Genomic DNA, 24,575 nt, shown 5'->3' with positions numbered 1-24,575 from the left:
GTATGAATGAGAAAAACGAACCATTTCCTTCAAGTGCAGCAATGCTGCCCCAGTCCTTTTGGACTCTGCTGGGCCTGACGTTAGTACTCAGTGCACAATTATCACCAGCTTTCTATGTGCCAAGCACAGGGCATATAGAGATCAGTAGTTCCTTCACTTTTCCAATGTGCAACCTCCAAAGTCTTACTGTTTATTTCTACAGTGTAGATCTGTCTCTAGGAGGCACTCTTTCCTTCCTGCCCACCCCTTGCTCAGCAGCCAGGATCCCCATGCAATTTCAAGCTTAGTGGATCGGCATATCCTGGACTGCAGCCCGCGTGTGTGCTGTGGCTAGGCGCCCTGATGCAGAGGCCCTGGGTGGAAACTCTATTTATCCTGCTGTCCCCCTATCTCTAGCATTTTGCCTAATGTCTGGCATAGCATAGACCCTCAATGGATGTCTGCTGTGTGGATGAATATTGATGAATCCTCCACCTCCTTCAGGACATTGATGTACTTCCACTGAAGGCAGGAGTCATCCAGGGCCATTTTAACCCCCACATCATTTCCCATGCTATCTAGAGCAATGCTGTCCAGCAGAAATATAATGCAAATTGTGTATGCAATTTAAAAGTTTCTAGTAATCTCATTAAAAAGTAAAAAACACACACAAACAAAAGTTAAAATTAATTGTAATATATATTTTATTTAGCACAGCCAAAACATCGTCATTGTCATCTTAACATGTAGTCAATATAAAAAGATATTAATGAGATATTTTACGTGTCTTTTTTTTCCCTGTACTAAGCCTGAAACCTAGGGTGTATTTTACACTCAAAGCACAGCTTGGGCTAGCCACATTTTAAGGGTTTTGTAGCCACAGATGGTTTGTGGCTACCACCTTAGAGAAAGCAGATCCAGAGCCTGTGAGCTTTTCAAAGGAGAAAAGTTTCTTGAGATCTGAAAAATAATGTATCATTCCAAGTCATGCAAATAAAACCTCCTAAGAGAAATAGATAGATATGCAATAGAAGTCAAAAAACTACAAAATGATCTGGATAATAAGAGTGCCTAAACCATAGCACTGTTGTAAGTTGTATGGGTCACACCCATACAGGCGCAGGAGAAGGTCAGTGGCACAGGAGGACTTAGTTGTATCAACAGGTCAAATGCAACTCAAGTCTAAATTCTTAGAGAGTTATACAAAATTGCATTGCAAGTGGGATGTGGATGTGTATTAATATATCTTATGTAATGAGGGATTTGGCCTCCAAAAATGAGTTCCTAAGGTTTGGCAAGGCTTTAAGCATCCTTGGAACCCATGCCCTCATGTTCTGCAAGCCTGAAATTTGCACGTGAAGGAAACGGAACATCCAGCTGAAGTGGAGAGCACAGGGCCAAGGATGTGGACAAAAACCACCCTGCTGACTAAATGCATTTTTCAAAAACAGTGCATTTGCACAGCACCACTGATGCAATGAATAAGATTTTCTTTTTTCCTGCCTGTCAAGCCACTTATTAATCACAACATATTATTGCTTTGCTTATTCAATATGTGGAGTGAAACACCAGGATCCAGCTGAGAACAGGACTGAAGAGAACAAAATTGGGTGGCAAGAAAAGAGCAAAATTAACATAGGCTATAGAGAAATGGTAGGGGAAAAAAATGCCTCCATCCTTTTAGAACAGATTTTTACAGCTATCAGAAAAGTAAAGGGAAACTTACATAAATTTTTAGTACAGCTCCTACTTGACGCTGAAATCGTTTTGATAAGGAATGGCATTTTCAGGAGAGGGGCCTGATGGAGGAGAGTTTAAGCTGAATGGAATGGTGGCTCCAGTCTTTGCCTTCTTGATGCAGCTGCAAATTAGAGTAATTACCCTCAGGTTCACGCTGGGCCGTGCAAATGGGAAATCAAATTTATGTTCCAAAAAGAAATGAAAGAAAAATATCAGAGCGTGGAGAAAGAAGGGTAAGGGCCAAAATCACTCTTGACATAGCAGAAAGGACATTATAGATTTTAGCAGAGAATAAATGACAAGAAAGGAGTGAGGTTATAAGTCCAGGGAGGCACCTACTGAAACTTCAAACTAAGCTAAGGAACTCAGAGTAGACAAAGGAGGTTTCAACACACATGCACACACACACAGCCATCAGATATACATCAAAGTCCTCAAGAAGTGGATCTATACTTGCCTGTGGTCAAAGGAACATCAGAAGGAGAGTTAGTTTTCATAGCATCATAAGAGTTTGAAATGGATAAATGGATCATTGCCAATACTAAGGGCTACTGGCCCACCCCTGTGCAAATACTCTTTGTCCTCTATTGCAACATACAAAGAATGGACTAGGAACACCTGGCTGACTCTCATGACCTCACTCTAGGCTAGATGTTGTCCTTGGCTCCATTTCACTCTTAAGTCATCACACCACAATCTTCGGTACCCAGGCAGTACCTCTCTGTCATGCGGTGTCTTTCCTACTATGACACAGGACTTTGGTCCTTAAGTAAAGGTCATGGGCTATGACTGATTCACAGATGCGAGCTCGGCCACATTGCAGTCCTAGCTCAGCCTGTGCATTCTGAGTCCTGGCTGTGAAACACTCATACACACGATTTTTTAAAAGCATCTTAAAATCCTATGGCATAGGCAGCACAGACCCAGCCATGATGGAACTAGAAATATGTTGGGGTTGGCACAGGCGTAGCTGTGTGTTCTCCTTCCTGCCAAGGATGGAAGATGATTGACTGAATGGGAACAGGAAATCGGCTTGCCAGAATGCATCTAAAATGGGACGTGCATGCTTGGGGGAGTGTTAACGTTATGCTTCAGAAAAGGAACAAATGGGCAAGTCCACACGGTTCCCAGCTTGTTCTAAAGATAAAGGGTCACTTTGGGGATACGTAAGAGGACAAGGCACAGATAGAGGCCAATTCTGCTCCCTGGGAGATAGTTGGGTATTTTGGAAAGTGGAATGACCATCATTTAGAAACAGAGCCAATTTGTCAGAGGGCACTGCAAGTCTGGCCCACCACCTGCCTCCTGGGAGGGAGATCTGTCTGGCACGATGCCACGTTTTGAGCAGCAGCACAGCCTCTTAAAAACAGTTCAGGTAAAAAATATTGATTACTTGTCTGCTATGTGCCAGGCATTGTGTTAGGAACTGGACACAATTAGAGCAGGACACAGCCCCATCCTTCAAGGAGCTTACGATTCAGCAGAGACACACTCTTCCCTAAACAGGGAGCTATACTCTTCTATAGTACGGGCTGTGAGAGAGCCACAAAACATGCTTGAGATGAGCCTCCCCCTGGCTTGGTGGAGGTGGGGAGAAGGCTTCCTAGAAAAATATGACTTTCAAGCAAAGACCTGAAGGTGAATAAGATGTAACCAGTAGAAAGAGCGGTGAGACTGGAGGAGTTTGGGGTACAAAAAAAGCATCCTCAGTGACCTGGAGGCCACGGCAAGCTTCTAGAGCATCTCGTGGTCCAGTACGGCTAGAATGCAGGGTAACAGGGCAATGTGGAGGGTAAATTGGAAGTTGTTCAAGGATAGATAGATTCTGAAATTCAGCAGAGAGATGATCTTAGAAATCTTGCACAATCCCCTCACTTGGTAGATGAGGAAACTAAGGCACAATCACAGAGGAATTACCGGTTCAAGTACATAAAGCTGGAGTGTGACAAGGTGGGCCAGGTAGGTTTCTTGGAGTCAGGTGACAAGGCTGCATCTACAGAATTGAGCAGTCATCACCTTCTCCTTTCCCACTTGGTAAAGTCACCAATAAGCACACTTTCCCTGGGGCACACAACCCAGCATACAAAGCTCATGAGTTTATGTGCCATGATCTGGTTAAAATGGAGCTTCCGCCCACCCTATCTCATAGGATCTCCACTGCAGCATCATAAGTAGACTCATCCCTACATCTCACACTCCTGAAGACTGAAGAGCTCAACCGAGGTGGCCTTGTATGGAAACCCACCTGAGAACTGCAACACTGGAACGTGGAGCCACACGCCATATGGTGTTCTTCCTTAAGGTCCCCCTAGTCCCTTAAATGTGTTCATCTCAGCTACTTTCCTACCCATAAATGTGAGTTGCAAAGGACAGGGAGAGGAATTACTTTAATTAGGTCTTCCTGCAATAAAGAGGGATCTTGATGTAAGAAAACAAAGCAGGCAAAAAAACAAACAAACAAACAAACAAACAAAAAACCATCTTGGGCTAATGGGAAAGACTAAAAAATGGTGACACAAATTGCTGGCTTGAGCTGTCTCCTAACTGCTCTCATGCCATACTGGATCCAGGGGCTGAATTAAGATGACAGGGGTGGATCACTGCCCGGAGAAAGGCTCTTACCTCCAGGAAACATCAGCCCTCTCACCTGGGCTCTGAATGAACATGGGGAGAAAAATCCCAAATGATGACAAGACAACACAGCAATCTACACTTCCCTGAATAGGTATTGAGAATGTGAGGGAGGGAGGGAAGAGGGGAGAGAGATGAAGGAAGGAAGGAAGGAAGGAAGAAAGGAAGGGAGGGAGGGAGGGAGAGAGGGAGGGGAGGGAGACAGGGAGGGAGGGAGGGAGGGAGAGAAGGAGGGAGGGACGGGGAGGGAGGGAAGGGGAAGGAGGGAGGGAGGGAAAGGGTGGTTGAGTGTATCAATGGAAACCTGGTAAAAAATGATTTAATCTGCATGCACTGATCCAGCTAGTGTTAATAGGACCAGCCAAGCACATACATAAAAGCAGAGGTTACCAGGGTTCCTATTTTAGGGCTTTCAGGGGAAACTCACTATCTCAAAATATATCATTCACATCTTCTGGGATGCCACTGAATAGAGACGCGTTTGGGCTAATCTACTACTTAACCAAAAGAAAATACCTCTCCAAGAATAACAGGGATCATCACTCATCCAACCTCAGGGAAGATCAATTTCAAGTCACTGTTTCATTCTCAGGATTGACCCTACTGAAAAGCAGGAGTTTGGATGGGGAGGAGGCAGAAGAGGAAGAGGCCACTTGGGAGCTGAGCCCTTTGGGAAGAGCCCAGGGAGACAGGCTTTGACCACTAAAGGATACAGCCCTCTAAGGCAGGAAGGGGCATGGCTGGCTGGAGGGGGCTTGAGAAGAGGGATGTGGGTTGTTCCACAGGGAATACGGTAAGCAGCCACATAGGTTAGCTTTCCCGGAGATATTTGTTCTAAATATATAGCAAGTTTTGGCAGAATCCTGCCTCCCACCACAGCTGTGAGATTCATTTTCTATGACCACCTGGGGATTGTGGAGACAACATCCCTTTGTTTCCTCTGCAAGGAAAAAGAAGCTTTAGTCAGAGCTGTGTTGGGTTCTGTTGGGGGCTTTGGAGAACCCTCAGATACACCTTGGATTTCCAAACATGGAGAGTGTAGGTATTTTCTGCCTGAGGCTACCCCTTCTGGGTTTGTTCATGGCTGGATGGAGAAATCAATGTGGAATATTCTCCCCCTAGTTTTCCAATCATTTTTGTTATTGTTGTTGTTACTGTTATTGTTTATTTCTCCAAAATATTATGTTGCCTCATAGTGGCTAAAACAATTTCAAAAATTTTAAGCCACCAGATTGCTGCAAGGAGCGGGTAGAGAATGCAGAAAAGAGGTCATTTATTAGGTTAAAAGTATCTTTCCCATCACCTCGAACCCAACCCTGATGTCAATTCCTCACAAGCTCCCTTCGGGAAATGCAGCTATCTCTGACCTTCCAAAGAGGACTTTTCACCAAAAGCAAATGTTAGCAAGGCTCTGTGGCACCTGAGACTCTTCCACGCAGCTCAAGGGTCTTAACTTGCTAGATCTTCATGGCGATCCTTTGAGGCACTAGGTCATGGAACTCCATGAAATTGTCTTAATTGGAAGATGTAGAGAATTGTTGATGATCATGGACCAGAGTGGGAAAACCAAGTAGATGCTTGTCTCCTTGGGTGTGTTTCATTTGGTCACTTTGGACAGGGGTTCCAAGAATGGTGAAGCCATTCTTCTAAAACTAATAGGTTAGGGGATGAGATCCAACTAAGATGTGGGCAGAACCCAGAGGCACATGGTTCCCAGGACAAGGCAAGGCTCAGTAATGTCTGGGTCAGGAGCTGAGCAGCCAGAAGGAATAAAGCAGATCCACAAACCCCCTTCCACCCCAGGGCCTTTGCATGTGCTGTTCTTTCTGTATTGAATGGGCTCTCTCTGCCCAGCATGGCTCATACTCCAACTCTTGGCCAAGTGGAAGCCTTCCCAGCTCCTTCTCAGTCTTCATCTCCCAGATCGGGTTGGTTCTTTTTGTTATACACACTCAACAGATCCTGATCCTTCTTTTGAAGTGCTTCTCTTGGTCTATAACTATGCACTTATTCATGCGACTATTTGAATTATGTCCTTCTCTCTTGCTGGGCTGACCCTCCCAGATAGCAGAATCTGTGTCTTCTGCTTAGCATAGAACCTGGCATACAGTCAATGCTAAAAACAAAAATAGAGCACAGTGTATCCCTTGAGACACAGAGTTCCAGCGCTTATGAGAGTTCCAACAAGACCACCCTCCACAGATAAGGGAGATATTTAATTCATGTATTTAGTGATTCTCCACTTCAGACCACAAAGGACCAAAGGGGATTTGACCAAAAAAATTGCATACAATTTCTGGGAAAAAAATGCAAAATAAATAGCTTCAGGAATGAAGGCAAAAGAAAAACGGATGTAGATAAATAGTAGAAATGCATTAGGAATAAAACAAAACCATTCAGCAAACACAAAACAAGTGGCTCTTGCCTGCAAGAGAGAAAAAGAAATCAATCGCCTGCTCTGAAAAATGATAAGGGTACAAATTCATGGGAACTGCTAAACAGAATAGCCATGAGGTTGATATTAAACTTTATTTTAACCTGTTGCAGAAGTAGTTCGTGATGGAATGAACACTAGATTTGCAGCTGGGACAGCTAGGATTCAAGTTCTAGGTTGGCCACAAAGTAGCCAAAGTCTTGGGTATGTTATTTGCGATCCTGAGGTTTTCTACCTTGGAAGATGTGATGCTCCCTCTTCTTTGTTTTTCAGCTCCCTGGCTCTGTTCTACCACAGGAGCAAGGGGGTGCTCTCTCAACACCTTATCTAAACAAGATGGCAGGAAACCTTTAAAAAAAAAATCACCACATCCACTTGTGTGACAAATGCTCCTTAGCAAGATTTTCAGAGGCAGAGTGGATAACCGCTTGGCTAAGAAGCTATTTGCACTGCTTGCATGGGGGATGTTGAGTCAAGAGTTGAGGACAGACCTCCTCCAGCGCCAGGAGACCAGGTGCTCCTTGCGGGGAAGGAGCAGGGTCACTTGGCACAAGAAGGAGAGACGCATCTGGCACCAGCTCTGCAATGAGGCCACAAGCTGTGTTATATTCCAGACCCTTCCTCCCTCGTCCCCAGCTCTGGTAGGTTATACCCTGTCTGGGTGTAGACAAGGAGAACCCACCTTCCTTTGGCATGGTGCCAATAATGTTGCAGTGTCTTCGCTGTCTCCAGTAACCCCCAACACCCTCCACAGGCATCCCTGTAAAATCTACATTATAATGTCGATTTTTGCCTATTTGTCTGCCTGCACAGTAAAGAGATGTTGCCTACATTTGGAGAGTTTAACACAGAGAAATTATCTGTGTTGATCTCTAGGTTTGGGGAGTGTTGTAGGCAGAATAATGGCCCCCAACGATGTCTCCGTACTAATCCCCGGAACCTGTGCATATGATACCTTACATGGCAAAGGGGAATTCAGGCTGCAGATGGAATTAAGGTTGCTAATCATTTGACCTTCAAATAGGGAGATTATCCTGGATTATCCAAGTGAGCCCAATAAAATCACAAGAGTCCCTTAAAATGCAAAAGGGAGACAGGAGAATCAGGGGAAGATGTATCTGCAGAGAAGGCTGGAAAGGCGCAATGTGAGAAGGACTCACTGGCCAGGCCGGCTTTGAAGATAAGGATGGGCATCACTAGAGGCTGGAAAAGGCAAGAAAACAGACTCTATCCAGTGCCCATGGAAAGGAGCTGCCAACACTTTGATTCAGCCCAGTGAGGCTTGGTATCAGATTTCTGACCTACAGAAATGTAAGATAATAAGTTTCTGTTATTTAAGCTGCTAAACTTGTAATTTGTTACTGCAGCTGGTATGGGCTGAATTGTGTCTCCTTTCTCCCATTCACTCCAATTTATATATCGAAGTCCTAACCCCCAGTGCCTCAACATGCGACTGTATTTCGAGATATGTATTTCAAGAAGAGATAGATGTATAAGATGTCACTAGGGTGGGCCCCAATACAACAAGACTGGTGTCCTCACAAGAAGAGCAGGCCAGGCACAGTGGCTCACACCTGTAATCCCGGCACTTTGAGAGATCAAGACGGGCCGATCACTTGAGGCCAGGAGTTCGAGACCAGCCTGGCCAACATGGTGAGACCCTCAGCTCTACTAAAAATGCAAAAACAACTAGCCAGGTGTGGTGGTGCACACCTATAACCTCATCTGCTTGGGAGGCTGAGGCATGAAGGCATGAGAATCCTTTGAACCCAGGAGGCAGAAGTTGCAGTGAGCTGAGATCATGCCACTGCACTCCAGCCTGGGTGACAGAGCAAGACTCCGTTAAAAAAAAAAAAAAGAGAGAGATTAGTATTCAAATGTGTACAGAGGGAAGCCCATGGGATGACACAGGGAAGACAGAGGCCTCAGGAGAAACCAGCCCTGCTGACACCTTGATCTCAGACGCCTGGCCTCCAGGACTGTGAGAAGGTAAACTTCTGTTGTTTAATGCATGGTGGGTTGTCTAGTCCATGGTGTGCGGTTATGGCACCCCTAGCACCGCAGCCATAAGAGCTAATACACGGGGATGCACGGAGCTCACCATAGAGGGCCCTGAAGGCACCAGGATGGGAGACGATAATCCCCCAAAACATGGAAATGGAGCTGCAAAAAGGGACTGTGAAATGCCACCAGGAGGGGCTGCATGAGTGAACACCATGGCCATTGGACGGAGGAAGCCAGCAGCAGTTTACAAACCAAAACACACGATGGCAGCTGCTTGGAGAGCAGGAACTAGGATCACCCATTTTTCCCCAGGTTCTTTCTATCAGATGCAACCAGGAGGGGTCACATGGGTGGACACCATGGCCATTGGATGGAGGAAGCCAGCAGCAGTTTACAAACCAAAGGGCGTGAGGGCAGGTGCTCAGCGAGCGGGAACTAGGATCACCCATTTTTTTCCCAGGCTGTCTCTATCAGGAGCTCCAGACAGAGAAGTTAACCATGATTAGCGATTTCTCTGATTGCTCTCAGCACTGGAGACCCTGTGGGCACGTAAACCCATGCCAGTGTGCTGAGGGCGTCTTCCCCGGGACTCTGGATTTTGTGTAGTTGAAACTGTGCTTTGAGTTCAGCTGGGCTTTTAAATAAGTCAAGGGACTTATTTTTTTTTTAAGTTCCAAGAAATAATATCCCACTTGATAATACCAAGACCTCACTCACTGAGATTGGTAAAAATTAAGCTTCATCTTCTTTGAAGTTGTTTAAAAATATCCTGAAGTTCATTCTCTCTAAAAGGTTTGAGGTTTGCTGGAAGAGGGATCTTTGACTTGAGATGATTATTAGTTATCAAAGCATGTTACTGTCTGGGCTAATTCAGCTGGGGCCAAGCTATCATTTAGGTTTGCACTATTTGGAAAAAAAGGTTTTGCTAAGCAAACACAATATGTAAACAACATCATAAGGAAGATGTTTATCCTGTTTAAGAGAAAAAACTGACCTCAAGTACTTTAGCAGTGCTTACTTCCACGCTGACAATTAAGCTGCCCTTATAATTGGGTTTATGTAAATATTAAAGGAAACTCACTAAAAATTCTACTTAAAGTAATTTTCAAATTTTCCAGTTAAACAATATGTACCCATTGGGGAAAACTTAGACAACACAAATGTCCAAAGGTAGAAACTAGAAATGATCCACGACACCTTCACTTAAGAATAACCACTATTCACATCCTCTCCAGCCCTCTCCCTTCAATCCCTACTCCCATCCCCAGCCAGCCTTCAAAGCACTTTGGAGTGAGATAAACCTGGATTCAAACCCTCCTTCACTACTTTATTGCTGTTTTATCACCTTGAACAAGATATTCTAACTCAAATTGTTTATCTGAAAAAGGAGATAAAAACAGTATTTATCTTATAAACCGTCATCCAAAGAGATGAATGGTGTTATTCTCCAAATGGTGAATTTGGTTTATTATGATGCCGTGCACATAATAAGCACGTAATAAATAGTGGTGCAGTGGTTATGAGCTGTGCAGAAAAGAGTTAATATGGCAGGCCTGACTGCAACCCTTTCAAGGCCTGTTTGCAAGACTGGCTTTTAGTGGGCATCTGGGAACTCAGATTTGGGGAGGGCTCCCACCGTGCACTGTGTACTAGTCCATTTTCACGCTGCTGATAAATACCCGAGACCGGGTAATTTACGAATGAAAGAGGTTTAATGGAGAACTCACAGTTCCATGTGGCTGGGGAAGCCTCACGATTATGGCGGAAGGCAAGGAGGAGTAAGTCATATCTTATATGGATGACAGCAGGCAAAGGGAGAGCTTGTGTAGGGAAACTCCCATTTTTAAACCCATTAGATTTTGTGAAACTTATTCACTATCATGAAAACAGCACGGGAAAGACCCATCCCATGATTCAATTACCTCCCACCAGGTCCCTCCCACAAACACATGGGAATTCAAGATGAGATTTGGGTGGGGACACAGCTAAACAATATCACACTGATAAGACTGGCTCACTGTGCCTAAACTACTGTGCAAACAATGTGATTTAGGCTGAACACCTGTTTCTTTCTGGAAGTCTAGAATTTGTGTATGTACCAGGCAAGAGGTTGCCTATGTGACCAGCCCCCAACAAAGCCCTGGGCACTGAGTCTCTGAAGAGATTCCCTGGTAGACAGCACTTCCCACATATTGTCACAGCTCATTGCTGAGAGAATTAAGTGTGCCCTCTAGGACATCACAGTGAGGGGACTCTTGGAAGCTCAAGCCTGGTTTCCCCCAGACTTCATGCTATGAGCCTTTTGCCTTTGCTGATTTTGCTTCGGATCCTTTTGCTGTAATAAACTACAGCCCTGAGTGCAACTGTGCGCTGGGTCCTGTAAGTCCACCTGGAAACCACTGCACTTGGGGGTGGTCCTGGGGACCTCCTAACACAGGGACATATCTGAGGTCGAGCTGCGGATTTCAATCCCAGTTCCACATTCATTGACTCCGTGTATGCCTCAGATTCCTGGCAGGACTCAAATAGCCACCTCAAGTGGGGGATTTAAAGAGCCTTCCATAAAGGGCTGTTTATTAAGGATAGGCAGGGTCTAAGGGAACCGATAAACAACAGTGCCATATCCTGGGCTAGTGAGGGGCTGGTTGTTAGCAACTGGTGGGAGGGCAGGGGTTTGGAGCAGTGACAGTAATCATGACTATTACTGTGTTGGCTGCAGATGCAACTTTCATGGCCATTCTCCAGTACTTTATTGCCTTTCAGATCCATCTCCAAATAATATTCATTCAGGAGAGAGAGAAAGAGAAGGGAGGAGGAAGAGAGGAAGGGAGGGAAGGAGAAAGGTAAGAAGGGAGTATAACCACAATGCAGGTTAGTTGCTCATCGCTTGCACTGTCCAATTAACATGAGCCAGATCAGATATAAAGAAGGTGATTTATTTCTAAGCTAGCTTAGGGGAAGAAGCACAGGCAATCCACCTTTAAAGGTACCATTTCACTTTTAGAGCAGAAAGCGGCCACTTTTAAAAGGCAGGGGAGGAAGCAAGCAAGGGTGGGGTGTCTGCATTTTAGCTTTGGTGCCTTATCTATTGGGCAGTTAAGCTGGTGATTGCTGGCACCTTCGTGGGCAGGACTAGGCCAAAAACTCCTCAGGTGAGAGGGAGTTTCATATCTCTCAAGGCAGTTTCCTGATGGGAGTCTTGTAGAAATCAGCTGTTATCTCTCAAGGCAACCTCCTGATGGGTGGCAGGTAGCAGGCAGGCTTTCGTCTATAAATTGACTGTTAACTCTTGAGGAGTTCAATGAACTTGCCCTATAGGGAGTATCTGGTGAAGGAACAGGGTACAGGCTATATTTGCATTTCTAAAGGGCTAAGTAGGAAGTGGGGAACCAGGGGAATGAGGAAGGAAGAGAGAAAGAAAAATTAATAATTAAGCCATCTCTTAGAAAAATGGGGGTATGTGGTTACAGGAGGGAAGATTGATCTCTGATTTCCTTTAGTTTGATTCTTCCCCCACCCTGTCCCTGCACAGGTGTTTCCAGAAGCTAATGATTGAGTGCCATCCTGAGATTAAAGCTCCAGTTATCTAGCAAAGGGCCCTGATTCCTTATTCCCCTCCATTTGTCAAACTTCACATGGGGTATATTTCATGCCACCTTTCCTGGCAGAGTTGTCCAGGAGAGGCTACCCAATCAAACTAAGTAGAACACTGAACAAAGATAGGAGGCTGCCTCCTTTCTCCCCACCAAGCCTTAGCCCAGGCTCCAAACCCTAAACCCTGACCTAAGAGAAGATGGTAAAAGCCCTAACAGGAAGGGCTAATGGGCAGATGTGAAATTCTCCCCTCCCTGGCCTCTGAATTCCATGTGTGTGGGTGCCAACATGGGCCCCATCTGTTCCCCAGGGAGGGTGGAAGCAGAAGGCATACATGAGAAAACTATAAATTGAAGTAAATCAAAGGAATGCCTTGGGTAATGAAGAGCTGAAGAGTCCCAGGGCAGCCACACAGGGTTGGAATGCATGAGATGTTTGTAATAACTTAAAGGCATGGTCTCCAGTGGAGCTACTCAGGGAAGTCCAAATGGCCCCAACCCTACAGCAATAATGAAGGAGCAAATCTGGTAAAAGGAGAAACCAAGGGTAATGCAGTCTGGGCAGAGGGATGCTGGAGGGCATTTTGAAGGGGAGCCAGAGGCAGAAATATAAGAAGAATGGAGGCAATTCCTCAAACACCCTGGTTGCCCACAGCAACCCCTTTTCATGCAGTCATTTACATAATGTTGCAATTGTCACTTGCTGTTTGCCTTCTGTTGCAAACAGAGCTCCAGCATAAAGGAGCATACTATAGCTGCATAGGTTAATTCAACTCTCATCCACCACTGGCAAAATAAAACCCATTTAATCATCTACTTGACCATAGGGCAAAAAAACCCTGCTTTGTTTGGAAGAGGCTTTCAGTGGCAGATGCCCTCAAGCTAACCACATCCCCACCTTCTTAGTTCCAGGACTGGTCTGCATTAATGGACACTGGTTCTCTGAATATAAGATGCTAAAGTATAGAAGACACTTGAGTCAGAAGGTGAGGAAGCTGATGAAAGAGCTTCACAGATGACTGAGGCAGCACAAGGCAAGGGGAAGAGCTCCAGCCCTTTGCTGGCTGGGAGGACTTGGGCGAGTGACTCCACACCTTTGAACCTGTTTCCTCTTCGGTAAAATGGAGATAATAAAAAAAAAAAATCCTACCTTCCAAGGTTGTGGTGAAGATTCAATGAGATAACTCTCCAAATGGCTTGGCATATTTATTTTTATTTTTGCTGTTACTACTGACACTATCATGGCATGCTAATATTCCCAAAGACAGCACTTTTATGTCCAAGAAGATACAAGGAAGGTGAGCTCTGGGCTCATCTGGGGAACTGATTCAACTTCTTTCCCTGAATTTACTGATGGTTTCAAGTAGTTTAACTGAATTTTTCTGAATATTAAGATAAAAGCTAGTCAAGTTAAGCATATCTGAGAGCCAGATTGAGCTAACTAAATGAATATGAGAGGCAGTGAAGTATTCTATAACAGGTTCAATTCACAAGATAAAGAACAAACCAGATATTCACTGGTGAATGTTCCCTTCCCAACAACACACACATACACACACACACCCCTCACATACATTATTCTGTAATTGCAGGCTGTTGTCTACTTTCATTACTGACTACGAATACAATGCCTTTCAGGTAGATAGAAATCCTTTGAACCAGAGCAATCAAATTTCCTTGTGTCTCTCATTTCCGCCATCCATATTAAAGGTCACTCTATGGTCCAGTGTGGCTACTGTAGCTCCAGCCATCACACTAACATTCCAGGCAAGCAGGGAGTGGGGAAAAGGCAGGCCTTTCCAATGGCCTTTTCACTTTGTGACATATGCTTTAGGCTACAGGGAGCATGAGGCCAGTGTGACTTCTCACCTGGACTATTGCAATAGTTTTCTATCTAGGTTCTCTGGACTATGGCAATAGCTTCCTATCTAAGTTCCCTGGACTATGGCAATGGGCTCCCAACTAGTTTCCCTTCTTCCTATGTCTTTCTCCAACCTAGCCTCTATAGCACTCAACACAGACTCAAGTCAATCTATACTTTCCAACTTCCACCTTTACAAAACTTGCCCCCCTAGCAGGATCTCTCTTCCCCTACACCTCTAAAGGTCAAACTCTCACTATCCTCTACAATGGCATTTTGCCTGACCAAAAGCATCACCTGGACTTTCAGTAAAGGCACAGATTCCTAGGCTCCACCTTAACCACTGAATCTGAATCTCCGTGAGAAAAGCCTGGGCTCCATGTTTGTGAAAGCCCTGGGTGAGCTTCTGAGAAACATTCTTTAAGGTAGAGGTAGTTCAACTGTGATGCACAACAGAATCTCCATTAAAATACAGATGCTCCCTGTTACCGTTTTAAGGAGCGTTGAAGTAGGCCTGGGGATTCACTCAAGTTTTGAACAAACTCCCCAGGCAATGATCTCCAGAGTCTGAGAACCTCAGCTCATAAGTCTCAGCTTAAATCCTGCCTCCTTCTTGAAGCCTTCTCCAATAAACTGGAACTCAAGTGCCCTCTCCTATATTCTGAGGGTTGTTCTGAGAAATAAAGAATTCCAACAGTGCCTGGCACGTAGTAAGTGCTCAATAAATGTCAATTCTCCTGATCACTTGAGATATTGTCACCATTCTCCTTCATGCTCTGACTACAGAACCTATCATTGTCGATCATGCCTCCAAGAAACTTAAGCAGGTTCGGGTTTTGTCAGCAGGTGGTGAGCCATGGAAGGCAGGCACCTGCACCTTTTCCTAAACATCAGTGTATCCTCCAGGGCATCTGGCTCACTCTTAAGCCCCCGGGAGGTGCTCAGTGAGTAGCTGTAGCATCAGTTGAAAGAGGTGGTATTTTCTGACACATTCGTTGTGAATCCAGAGTAATTATTACCCTTTATACCCCTGGTTGCAGGTCAAAATGTCCTGCCTCTCTCTGAATCCACTTTTATGGGACTGTTTCTATGATGAAGGCAACTTCATCTTTTAAAAAAATTATGTAAATAATATGTGAATATATAATTATTATAAAAATAACACAGATAAAGTGAAATTACCCCTTGATTATTGCCTTCTTATTCCAATCTTTTCTATCAGATATAAACACTGTTATTAGTAGTAGACTGAGCCATATGAAATTGCTACTATTCTACCATTTTTAGCCTATAAGAAGCAATTTCATTGACTCAACAGATTGATATGCATCCTTTCAGAACTCTCTCCTATGCATAGGAGATTTGGTGATTTTAAAGCATGACTATAAATTATTTGATGCTCTTGCCATTACAGGACGGAGTCTATGTCCCATCCTTCTGAATCTAGGTGGTCTTATGCTTGCTTTGACAGTAGAGTAGCATAAGTAACATGATTTTCAAGGCTAGGTCATAAGAGACCATGAAGCTTCTGTTTGTTTGCTGGAACATTCACCCTGGGAACCCTGAGAAACCGTGTAAGAAGTTTGAGGCTGCAATCTTGTGAGGAATCCCAAGCCACATGAAGAAGCCATGTGGCCTCAGTTGACACTCCCACCTGAATCTAGCCTTTGAGTTTTCCTAGTTCAGGGAACAGACATGTATGTGAAGAAGCCTCCAGATGATTCCAGCCCCCTGCCATTTGAGTCAACCTTAAGCCTTTCATGTCTTCCAACCTGGATCCCCAGACATTGTGGAGTAGAGAAATCCACTGCATCCTGTCTGAGCTCTTGATCTGTAGAATCTGTGAGCACAATAAAATGGGTGTTTTTTCATGCCACTATGTAGTAGATGGTTTGTTATATAGCAACAGATAACTGATATAGTAGGATAACACCTGCTTATGCAACGTATGTGAATTCAGCCTATACAGGCTCAGAAAGAAAGAATAAAGTAAGAAGAAAACCTATTTAAATAACTAGAACAGGTGATTCCTCTCCACGGCATATACCTAGATGAGAGTGAGAATGAAATGGGCCATGTGGCTCTCCCAGTGGTTCTCAGCCAAGGGAAATACTGCCCCCTAGGGACATTTAGAAATATTTGGAAGACTATTTCATTGTTCACGGAAGGGAATGGTGATGGTACACACCCAGGGCCAGAGAGGCAGGGATGCTAAACATTCATCCTGCACAGTGTTGCCCAGCATAGAATTGTCCTGCCCTACATTCTTAGATACCTGTTGGGAAACACTATTTGGTCTCAGCTTCAGAGGGCCTTGAATGGGGTGAGCATCCTAAAGACACAAATTTCTTTTTATTTGAACATTGCGGCCCCCAAATGCAGGCTGCCATCTTCATCTGGTACTTGCAGAAACATTAATCTGCTCCAACACAGCAGGAAACAGAGCTGCATTCCACCTAGTAAAGATGGAATGTCCAACCCTGAAGTGCCTCTTTTCTAAGGGATTTTAGAAATAAATGTTGACTGTGTCCAGCTGTCACTGTGCTCACTGAATTGTGTAGAAAGAACCTCTCTCCCATGTGATATTCACTTCCACTACTAGGAAATAGAAAGATTCCATAAATACAGATACATAGAAATATATAGATTTTGTGGGGTTGGTTTTAAAATGATAAGTGATATTAACTTGTCATATTACTTCTAAAATTTTTAAATTTGCAATATATTTTTTGGAAATTTTTGTCTATTAGTACATAAAGATCTACTCAATTCTTTTAAGGTGCTGAACAGTTGTCTATTGTGTGGATACTGTGTAGTTAATTTAAACATTTACATATTAATCAATAATTAGGCATTTTTCCCTAGGCTTTTGTAATCACAAATAATAACACACTAGTGAAAAACCTTGTCCTTGAATTTTTGACTTACCTGAAGGCATTTCCTTGGGATAGGTATCCAAGTGAGGAATTGCTTGGGTGAATATTTATAATCTTAATATAGCTTTCCAAATTGCCCTCCAGAATCGCTGAACTATTTTCCATTCTCATCAACAGCGTTTGAGGATATTAGGGCTCAAAAAAACGATAGTAAAGGCCTCAGAAGCAGCATCAGAAGGAAAGTATCCCTTTGACCTTCTCCTGCCCTCCCGTTTCTCACTCCTCATTCTCCTCCAAGGCAAGCCATAAAAGCTAGAATCCCTCTTCCCCAAGGCAAGTCAGAGAAACCAAAACCCCCTTTCCCCAAAGCCACCCGTAATACCTAAAAATGTGACTCCAGCCTCACCGCACCTTTCCGTGTTACAGCTGGCCATAAAGAAATTTAGATTCTCATTCCAGCAGGGTCCTACCCCATACCTGGGAAGAAGAAATGCTACCACAGAGAGGCCAGGATGAATCTGAACAGACAGGCCTTGCTAGGATTTCCCACTGAGTCTATTACCATCAGCTCAGATCTTTTCTTTTTGTCCAATCGCATTTCTACCTGGTTTACTAGAGAATCTTCTTCATTGAACCTAAGCATAAAGCCAGGTGGCCTTCCCTTTACTTTTGGGTCTTCAATCTGAAGACTTTTGTGTCATGTAAAACTATGATCAAATAAATTGGTTATGGCTTTTCTTCTGTTAAACTGTCTATTGTCAGTTTTGTTTTTGTTTTTTTTTCAGCAGACTTAGACTCAAATACTCAGAAGGCAAGTTTGAACTCCCCTACAAGAATGTCCCAATTGTCTCAGGGCTTTTCTTGGACAGTGAATCTAAAGTCTTAGGAAGTGAAGCAAGAGGAATCTCCTTACCTGTCATATCAGGCAGACAGGGAAGGAATTAGTTCAAATGAATTTAATTTAGTAACTATTTAGCATATTCTATTAAAAAGCACTTTATTGAGAGGTCTCCAAGATGAGACAGCCTAGTCTCTATCCTTAAAGAGCTCTCAAACTCTCCCACAAACAAAATGTAAATGATGACATTTGAAACGGAGTAAGATAGCACAGGGGTTGGTGGTCCAGGACTCCTAAAGGAAAGAGAGCCAGCCATGGGTCTAAGGAGCTATGAAGCTTTTCTAAAGCAGGTGTGCCCCAAACTGCAAAGGATGGAGGGATTTAATTACTTGATGAGGATGAGGTACTAATTTCTTGACGGGCAGTGGCTGGTGTTGGGGCACAGAGACATGTGGCGAGGGAGAGGATGCAGAGGTGGGTCAGAGGCAGATGGCACACGCCATGGGAGCACAGTGGACGTGTATCTGGCACAGCATGGGGCAGATGCAACAGGGACTTATGGCTTGATAACAGAGTACGAGAATAAGAGAAAAGGCACCACAGGGGAAGGCTGAAACCCAGGCAAGTTCTTGCACTATCTAAGAACATGCATAGCCAATACTGAACCACAGAATGTAACCAGTTCAGAGAGATAGCTCCTAAATACGATTATTTCATAAATTGCATCTTTATTAACTTTAATAGCACAGAAAAATTAATTTCACAAAGTACATTACACAACACTTACTTGTAAATCAATGCAAAAAATTGTAGCGTTGGACAACTACTCAACCAGGAGATAAAAACAAAAGGGGAGAAAATAAAGGACAAAATAAAGGTACGTTTTCTGCACAAATAGATGGTTATAGTGTCTGAAATTCCTTTTTCAAATATAAGCCACATGGGTACCAGTGCGTGTGTGTGTGTAAGGGTGTGTATGTACATACATATGTATATATGTGTGTATATGTACATATATGTACATACATATGTATATATGTGTGTATATGTACATATATGTACATACATACCCCTACACACATACATGCAGTGGTACACATGTGAAAATATGTGTGTGTTGTGTGTGTGTATATATATATAATTTATTTATTTATTTATTACTGTTATATATTATACCAATTATATATTTCTTATTGTTAAGAAAATAATAGGCCGGGCACGGTGGCTCACGCCTATAATCCCAGCACTTTGGGAGGCCGAGGCGGACAGATCACGAGGTCAGGAGATCAAGACCATCCTGGCTAACACAGTGAAACCCCGTCTCTACTAAAAATACAAAAAAATGAGCTGGGCGTGGTGGTGGGCGCCTGTAGTCCCAGCTGCTGGGGAGGCTGAGGCAGGAGAATTTCATGAACCCGGGAGGCGCAGCTTTCAGTGAGCTGAGATTGCGCCACTGCACTCCAGCCTGGGTGACAGAGCAAGACTGTCTCAAAAAAAAAAAAAAAAAAGAAAAGAAAATAATAAAGTATTACAAGAATTCAAGAATTAACCACTACATTTAAAGCACCACTTAAGAGCCATTATTGTAAAGGATAATGATGATGACAGTAGCAACAATAATCATCATAAAAATTACAGTGTGTGTCCATGGCCCTTTTAAAGCATTTTCACATTGTTAGCGTGCTCTTTCACAATCACCCTATGGGGTAAGCCAAAGTCTAAATTTTCTGATCACCAAAGTACCAAGCAAGGTTAGCATGAATTAGAGAAGGAATTTTTCACCTGGATTCTAGTCTTCCAAGGTTTCTGGGACAGACTTTGGAATTATTTTATACCTCTTAATTTGCACGCTATACATGACCATGTGCATTTTTCCTAGGAGGGGGTCCATAGATTTAACAAACCCATAGGCCCCCAAAAGTTATGAATCATTGAAATAGAGAAAGAAATAGCTATGAATTTGGCATTATCAAAATGTTGACATTCACAAAATGTTTTGACATTTTTTAAATGTTACAGTAAGATGTATTAATTGATGTTTTTACCTTTAGCTATGCAAATAAAATTAATAGACATGACTTCTACTTCTGACCATGATGGAGTAATCAAGACAAAATTTACCTTCCTAAGGCTAGAAAAACTGAATGCACACACACACATACAAGCACACATACATACACACACTTATAGCAACAGTTTCCAGACATCAAACAACAAGCACCAGAGGAGAGCTATCCTTAAGAGAAGAGGAGAAGGAACAAAAGGAGCTCTGCTATTTCTTCAGCTCACTGCCTGAGAGTTTTCAGACCAAGATGCAGTGAGAGGGAACCACACAGAGCCTGGTGGTCTCACTGAGCGGAGAAAAGAGATTGGAGTTTGAGAAGGCCAGAGTGGCTGAGGTTTGCATGGCAATATACCAAGAGGAGGGAATTGCACAGGTAAATTTGTAAAGGGAATTCCTCTAGTCTTTTTTTTTTTTTTTTTTTTTTTTGACAGAGTCTCACTCTGTCACCCAGGCTGGAGTGCAGTGACATGATCTCAGCTCACTGCAACCTCTGCCTCCTGGGTTCAAGCAATTCTCCTGCCTCAGCCTCCTGAGTAGCTGGGATTACAGGCATGTGCCACCATGCCCAGCTAATTTTTGTATTTTTAGTAGACACAGGGTTTCACCATGTTGGCCAGGCTGGTCTCGAACACCTGACCTCTTGATCCACCCACCGCGGCCTCCCAAAGTGCTGGGATTACAGGCCTGAGCCACCGCACCCGGCTGTTCCTCTAGTGTTTAGCTGAGCATTGATCTGTGTTCACATGGGAGGAAATACCAGAGACCAGAAAGAATGGCCAGAGAGCAGCAGACAGAACCACTCATTGTGCCTACCCAGCACTGGGAATAATTCATTTTCCCACCAGTCAGTGTAGAAACACATGGTATTGAAAGAAATTCTAAGGCAAGTATTGTCACAGTAATAGAGGCAAATCAGTCCTAGTTGCTCCAGTATAAACAGACTCAGAAATTAGAGTTAATAAACAAGAGCATTTTAATAGTCATTATAAATAGCCTCGATATGTCAAAAAGGCAGAGAGAAACATTGGAGAGAAATGGAAGCTATAAAAAAGATTGAATCAAGCTTCTAGAGATGAAAAATACAATATCCAAGCTGGAAAAAATACCAGACGGAATTGACAGCAGATTAGACACTGAAGAAAAAAAGAGAGAGAGAGAGAAAAATTAGTGAACTTGAAGATATGGCAATAGAAACTTTCCAAAATGAAGCATACAGAGAAAAAGAGACTGAAAAAAATGGATGGAGTGTCAGTGAGATGAGGGACAATATCAAGTGGCCCAACATACATGCAATTGGAGTCCCAGAAAAGCCAGAGGGGGATGAGGGAAGGAACATTTAAATAAATAATGGCTAAACATTTTCTAATTTTAATGAAAATTACAAACCTGTGATCCAAGTAGCTCAATAAACCCCAAGCAAAAGACACATGAAGAAAAACATGCCAGTCACAAAATAATCACATTACAGAAAGGCAATGATAATAAAGACAAAATCTTAAAAGCTGCCACAGGAAAAAAAAAAAGATGCATTATTTACAGAGAACCAAAGAAAACATTATCAACAAACTTCTCATCACACGCTATGTAAGCTAGAAGACAATGGAGTGATTTCTTTAAAATACAAAAGAAATTCTATAGTGAGCTAAAAATATTTTTTAAATAATGGTGAGAAAGGGTCTTTTTCAGCCAAGCAAATGCTGAGATAATTTAGTACCAGAATTTATTTCTCATTATGCTGATACACTGGCTGAAGCTCTTCAGTCAGAAAGAAAATAAGACTAGGTCAATCATGTAGCGGAATAAAAGAGCACCAGAAATAGCAAATATGAAAGGCAGTTTTCTCACTTTTGTAAATATTTTTAAGAGATAATTGGCTATGTAAAGAATGAATAACTATAACGTACTGTGGAGTTTAGACCACATGCAGTGTAAAATGAATGATAACAGTAGCATAAGGCATAGTAGGGAGGAAATGAAAGTATAGTGCTACAAGGTTCTGACAATATCCTATTATTTGAGGGGACACTGTGATAAGTTAAAAATGTATATTTTAAACCCCAGAATAGCTATTTGTTTAAATGGACAATGATGAATGGCTAATAAGCTAAAGTAAAGATAAAATAGAATCATAAAAAATACTGAATTAATCCACAAGAAGAAAAGAAGATAAAATAAATGAAGATCATATATGTATTGAAATGAATAGCAGAACAGTATATTTAAATACAACCATATCAGTACTTACAGTAAATGGAAGTGGTCTAAACACCCTCAACTAAAAGACATAGATTGTCAGATTGGATAAAACGGCAAGACCCATCTACATTCTAACTATTTTAAAAAACATTCTAAATATTAAATAGAAAAATTTTAAAAGAATATAAAAAGATACAGCATCCATTTTGGTGGCAGATGTTGATATTAAAGGGAGGTTATGCATGTGTGGGTGCAGAGGGAATATGGAAATCTTTGCACCTTCTCAGTTTTGCTGTAGACCTAAAATTGCCCTAAAAAATAAAGTCTGGATTTTTTTTTTTAGAAAATGGTAAGGCATGCAACCACTAATCAAAAAAAAAAAAATTAGAATGATGGTATGAATCTTAGAAAAAGTAAATTTTAGAACAGAGAATATTATCTGGGATAAAGAGGGACATTTCATAATGATAAAAAGGCCCATTCATGAAGAGAGCAAAAAAAAATGCTAAATGTGCATGGACTTCATAAAAGAACATCAAAGTATATGAAACAATAAATGATATAACTAAAAGAAGAACTAGACATATCTAATTACAGAGACCTCAATATTCTTCTCTCAATAATTGATAAAAACAAGTATACAGATAACATCAGTAAAGATATAGAAGACATGAGCAACATTATCAATGAACTTGGTCTAACCAATGTTTATAGACCATCCTGTCCAACAACAGCAGAAGAGCATTCTTTGAAGTGAACATGGAATATTTACCAAAATAGATCGTATTCTGGATCATAAAACAATCTTTAACAAATTTAAAGAATTGAAATCATATAAATCTCTGACCACAATGGAACTGAATTAAAAATCTATGACAAAACAACAGAAAGATATCTGGAAAATCTTCAAATATTTGAAAATTAAATAACACATTTCTAAATAACCCATGGGTCAAAGAAGAAATAATAAAATTATAAAATATTTTTAATTAAGTGAGAAATGATATCAAATTGTACCCAAATTTGTGAGGTATAGCTGAAGTAATGCTTACAGGGAAATTTATAGTATGAAATTTTTATGTTAGAAAGAAGAAGGGTCTAAGATCAAAGATCTTAGCTTACGCTTTAAGAAACTAGAAAAAGATGCAAAAATTAAACCCAAAGCTAAAAGCTTATCTAAGAAGAACTGGATAAATTGAATAGCCCTGTATCTATTGAAAAAATTAGATTAGTAGCTAAAAACCTTCTCACAAACAAATCGTCAGGCCTAGGTGATCACTGGTGAATTTTACCCAACATTTAAAGATGAAATAATACCATCATACATCAAGAAAAAAAAAAAAAACAGCAAGAGGGAACACTTCCCAACTCAGTTTATGAGTCCACCATTACCCTAATACCAAAACCAGACAAAGAGATTACAAGGAAAGAAAACTACAAACCAATACTTCTCAAAAGTATAGATGCAAAATTACTACACAAAATGTTAGCAAATGAAATTCAGCAATTTATTCTAAAAAATATACCATGACCAGCTGGGTTGATGTCAAAATTGTAATACTGGCTTAATGTTTGAAAATTAATCCATGTAATTCACCACATTAACATACTAAAACAGAAAAACCGTCTGACTCTCTTAATAGATGTAAAAATAATTTTAAAATTTTAACAGCCACTCTTGATAAAAAAAACTCTCAGCAAAATAAGAATAGAAAGGAACTTCCTCAATCTGATGAAACATATCTAAAACTCTATAGCTAACACTATACTTAGTGGAAAAGGTGGAATGCTTCCCCTATAAGAACTGGAGCAAGGTGAAGATGTTCACTGCCTCATTTTATTTGCTATTGCACTAGAGATCTAGCCAGTAAAATAAGGCAAGAAAAGGAAATGAATACACAAAGAAGTTAAAAAGAAATAATTAAAACTGGCTTTTATTGTAGACTAAATGATTACCTTTGTAGAAAATTCTAAAGAATCTACAAAACAGTTATAACTAATAAGTGAGTTTAGCAAGGTCAGAAGATAAAAGGTCACTATACAACAATAATTTGTATTTCTATATATTGCCAAAGAAAATTGGAAATTAAATATGAAAATGCCATTTATGATAGCATCAAAATTGTGAGAATTTTTTAAGTGCAAGACCTGTACACGAAGAACATTTCTGAGAAAACTTAAAACAACCTAAATAAATGGAGAGATACATCATATGCTCATTGACTAGAAGATTCACTATGATGATGATGGTGACGTCCGTTCTCCCTAGTCAAATTCCCAGCAAGCTGTTTTTGAAAAATTCACAACCTAATGATAGAAACACAAAGGACTTAGAATAGCAAAAACAATTTTTAAAAA

General features: G+C 41.8%; 1 protein-coding gene across 6 annotated transcripts in view, besides 2 other annotated features; it reads right to left on the bottom strand.

The window, feature by feature from the left end:
* KAZN (kazrin, periplakin interacting protein) overlaps positions 1-24,575 on the bottom strand; it is a 1,225,220-nt gene that overhangs the window by 1,006,487 nt on the left and 194,158 nt on the right. The window lies entirely within an intron of this gene.
* Positions 2,257-2,457: a silencer, noted in NCBI's record as "peak76 fragment used in MPRA reporter construct". NCBI's record gives its function as "represses an SCP1 promoter by STARR-seq MPRAs in K562 erythroleukemia cells {active_cell/tissue: K562}" and the evidence as "EXISTENCE:reporter gene assay evidence [ECO:0000049][PMID:32103011]".
* Positions 5,839-6,008: an enhancer, noted in NCBI's record as "experimental_268 CRE fragment used in MPRA reporter constructs". NCBI's record gives its function as "activates a minimal promoter by MPRAs in K562 erythroleukemia cells, with activity observed for both the introgressed and non-introgressed 1:14432129 variant alleles {active_cell/tissue: K562}" and the evidence as "EXISTENCE:reporter gene assay evidence [ECO:0000049][PMID:34662402]".

The sequence above is a fragment of the Homo sapiens genome, chromosome 1 (genome assembly GCF_000001405.40).
Source record: "Homo sapiens chromosome 1, GRCh38.p14 Primary Assembly".
Taxonomy (NCBI): domain Eukaryota; kingdom Metazoa; phylum Chordata; class Mammalia; order Primates; family Hominidae; genus Homo; species Homo sapiens.
The sequence above is the reverse complement of the archived record's forward strand: the minus strand, read 5'-3'. Positions and strand labels throughout refer to the sequence as shown.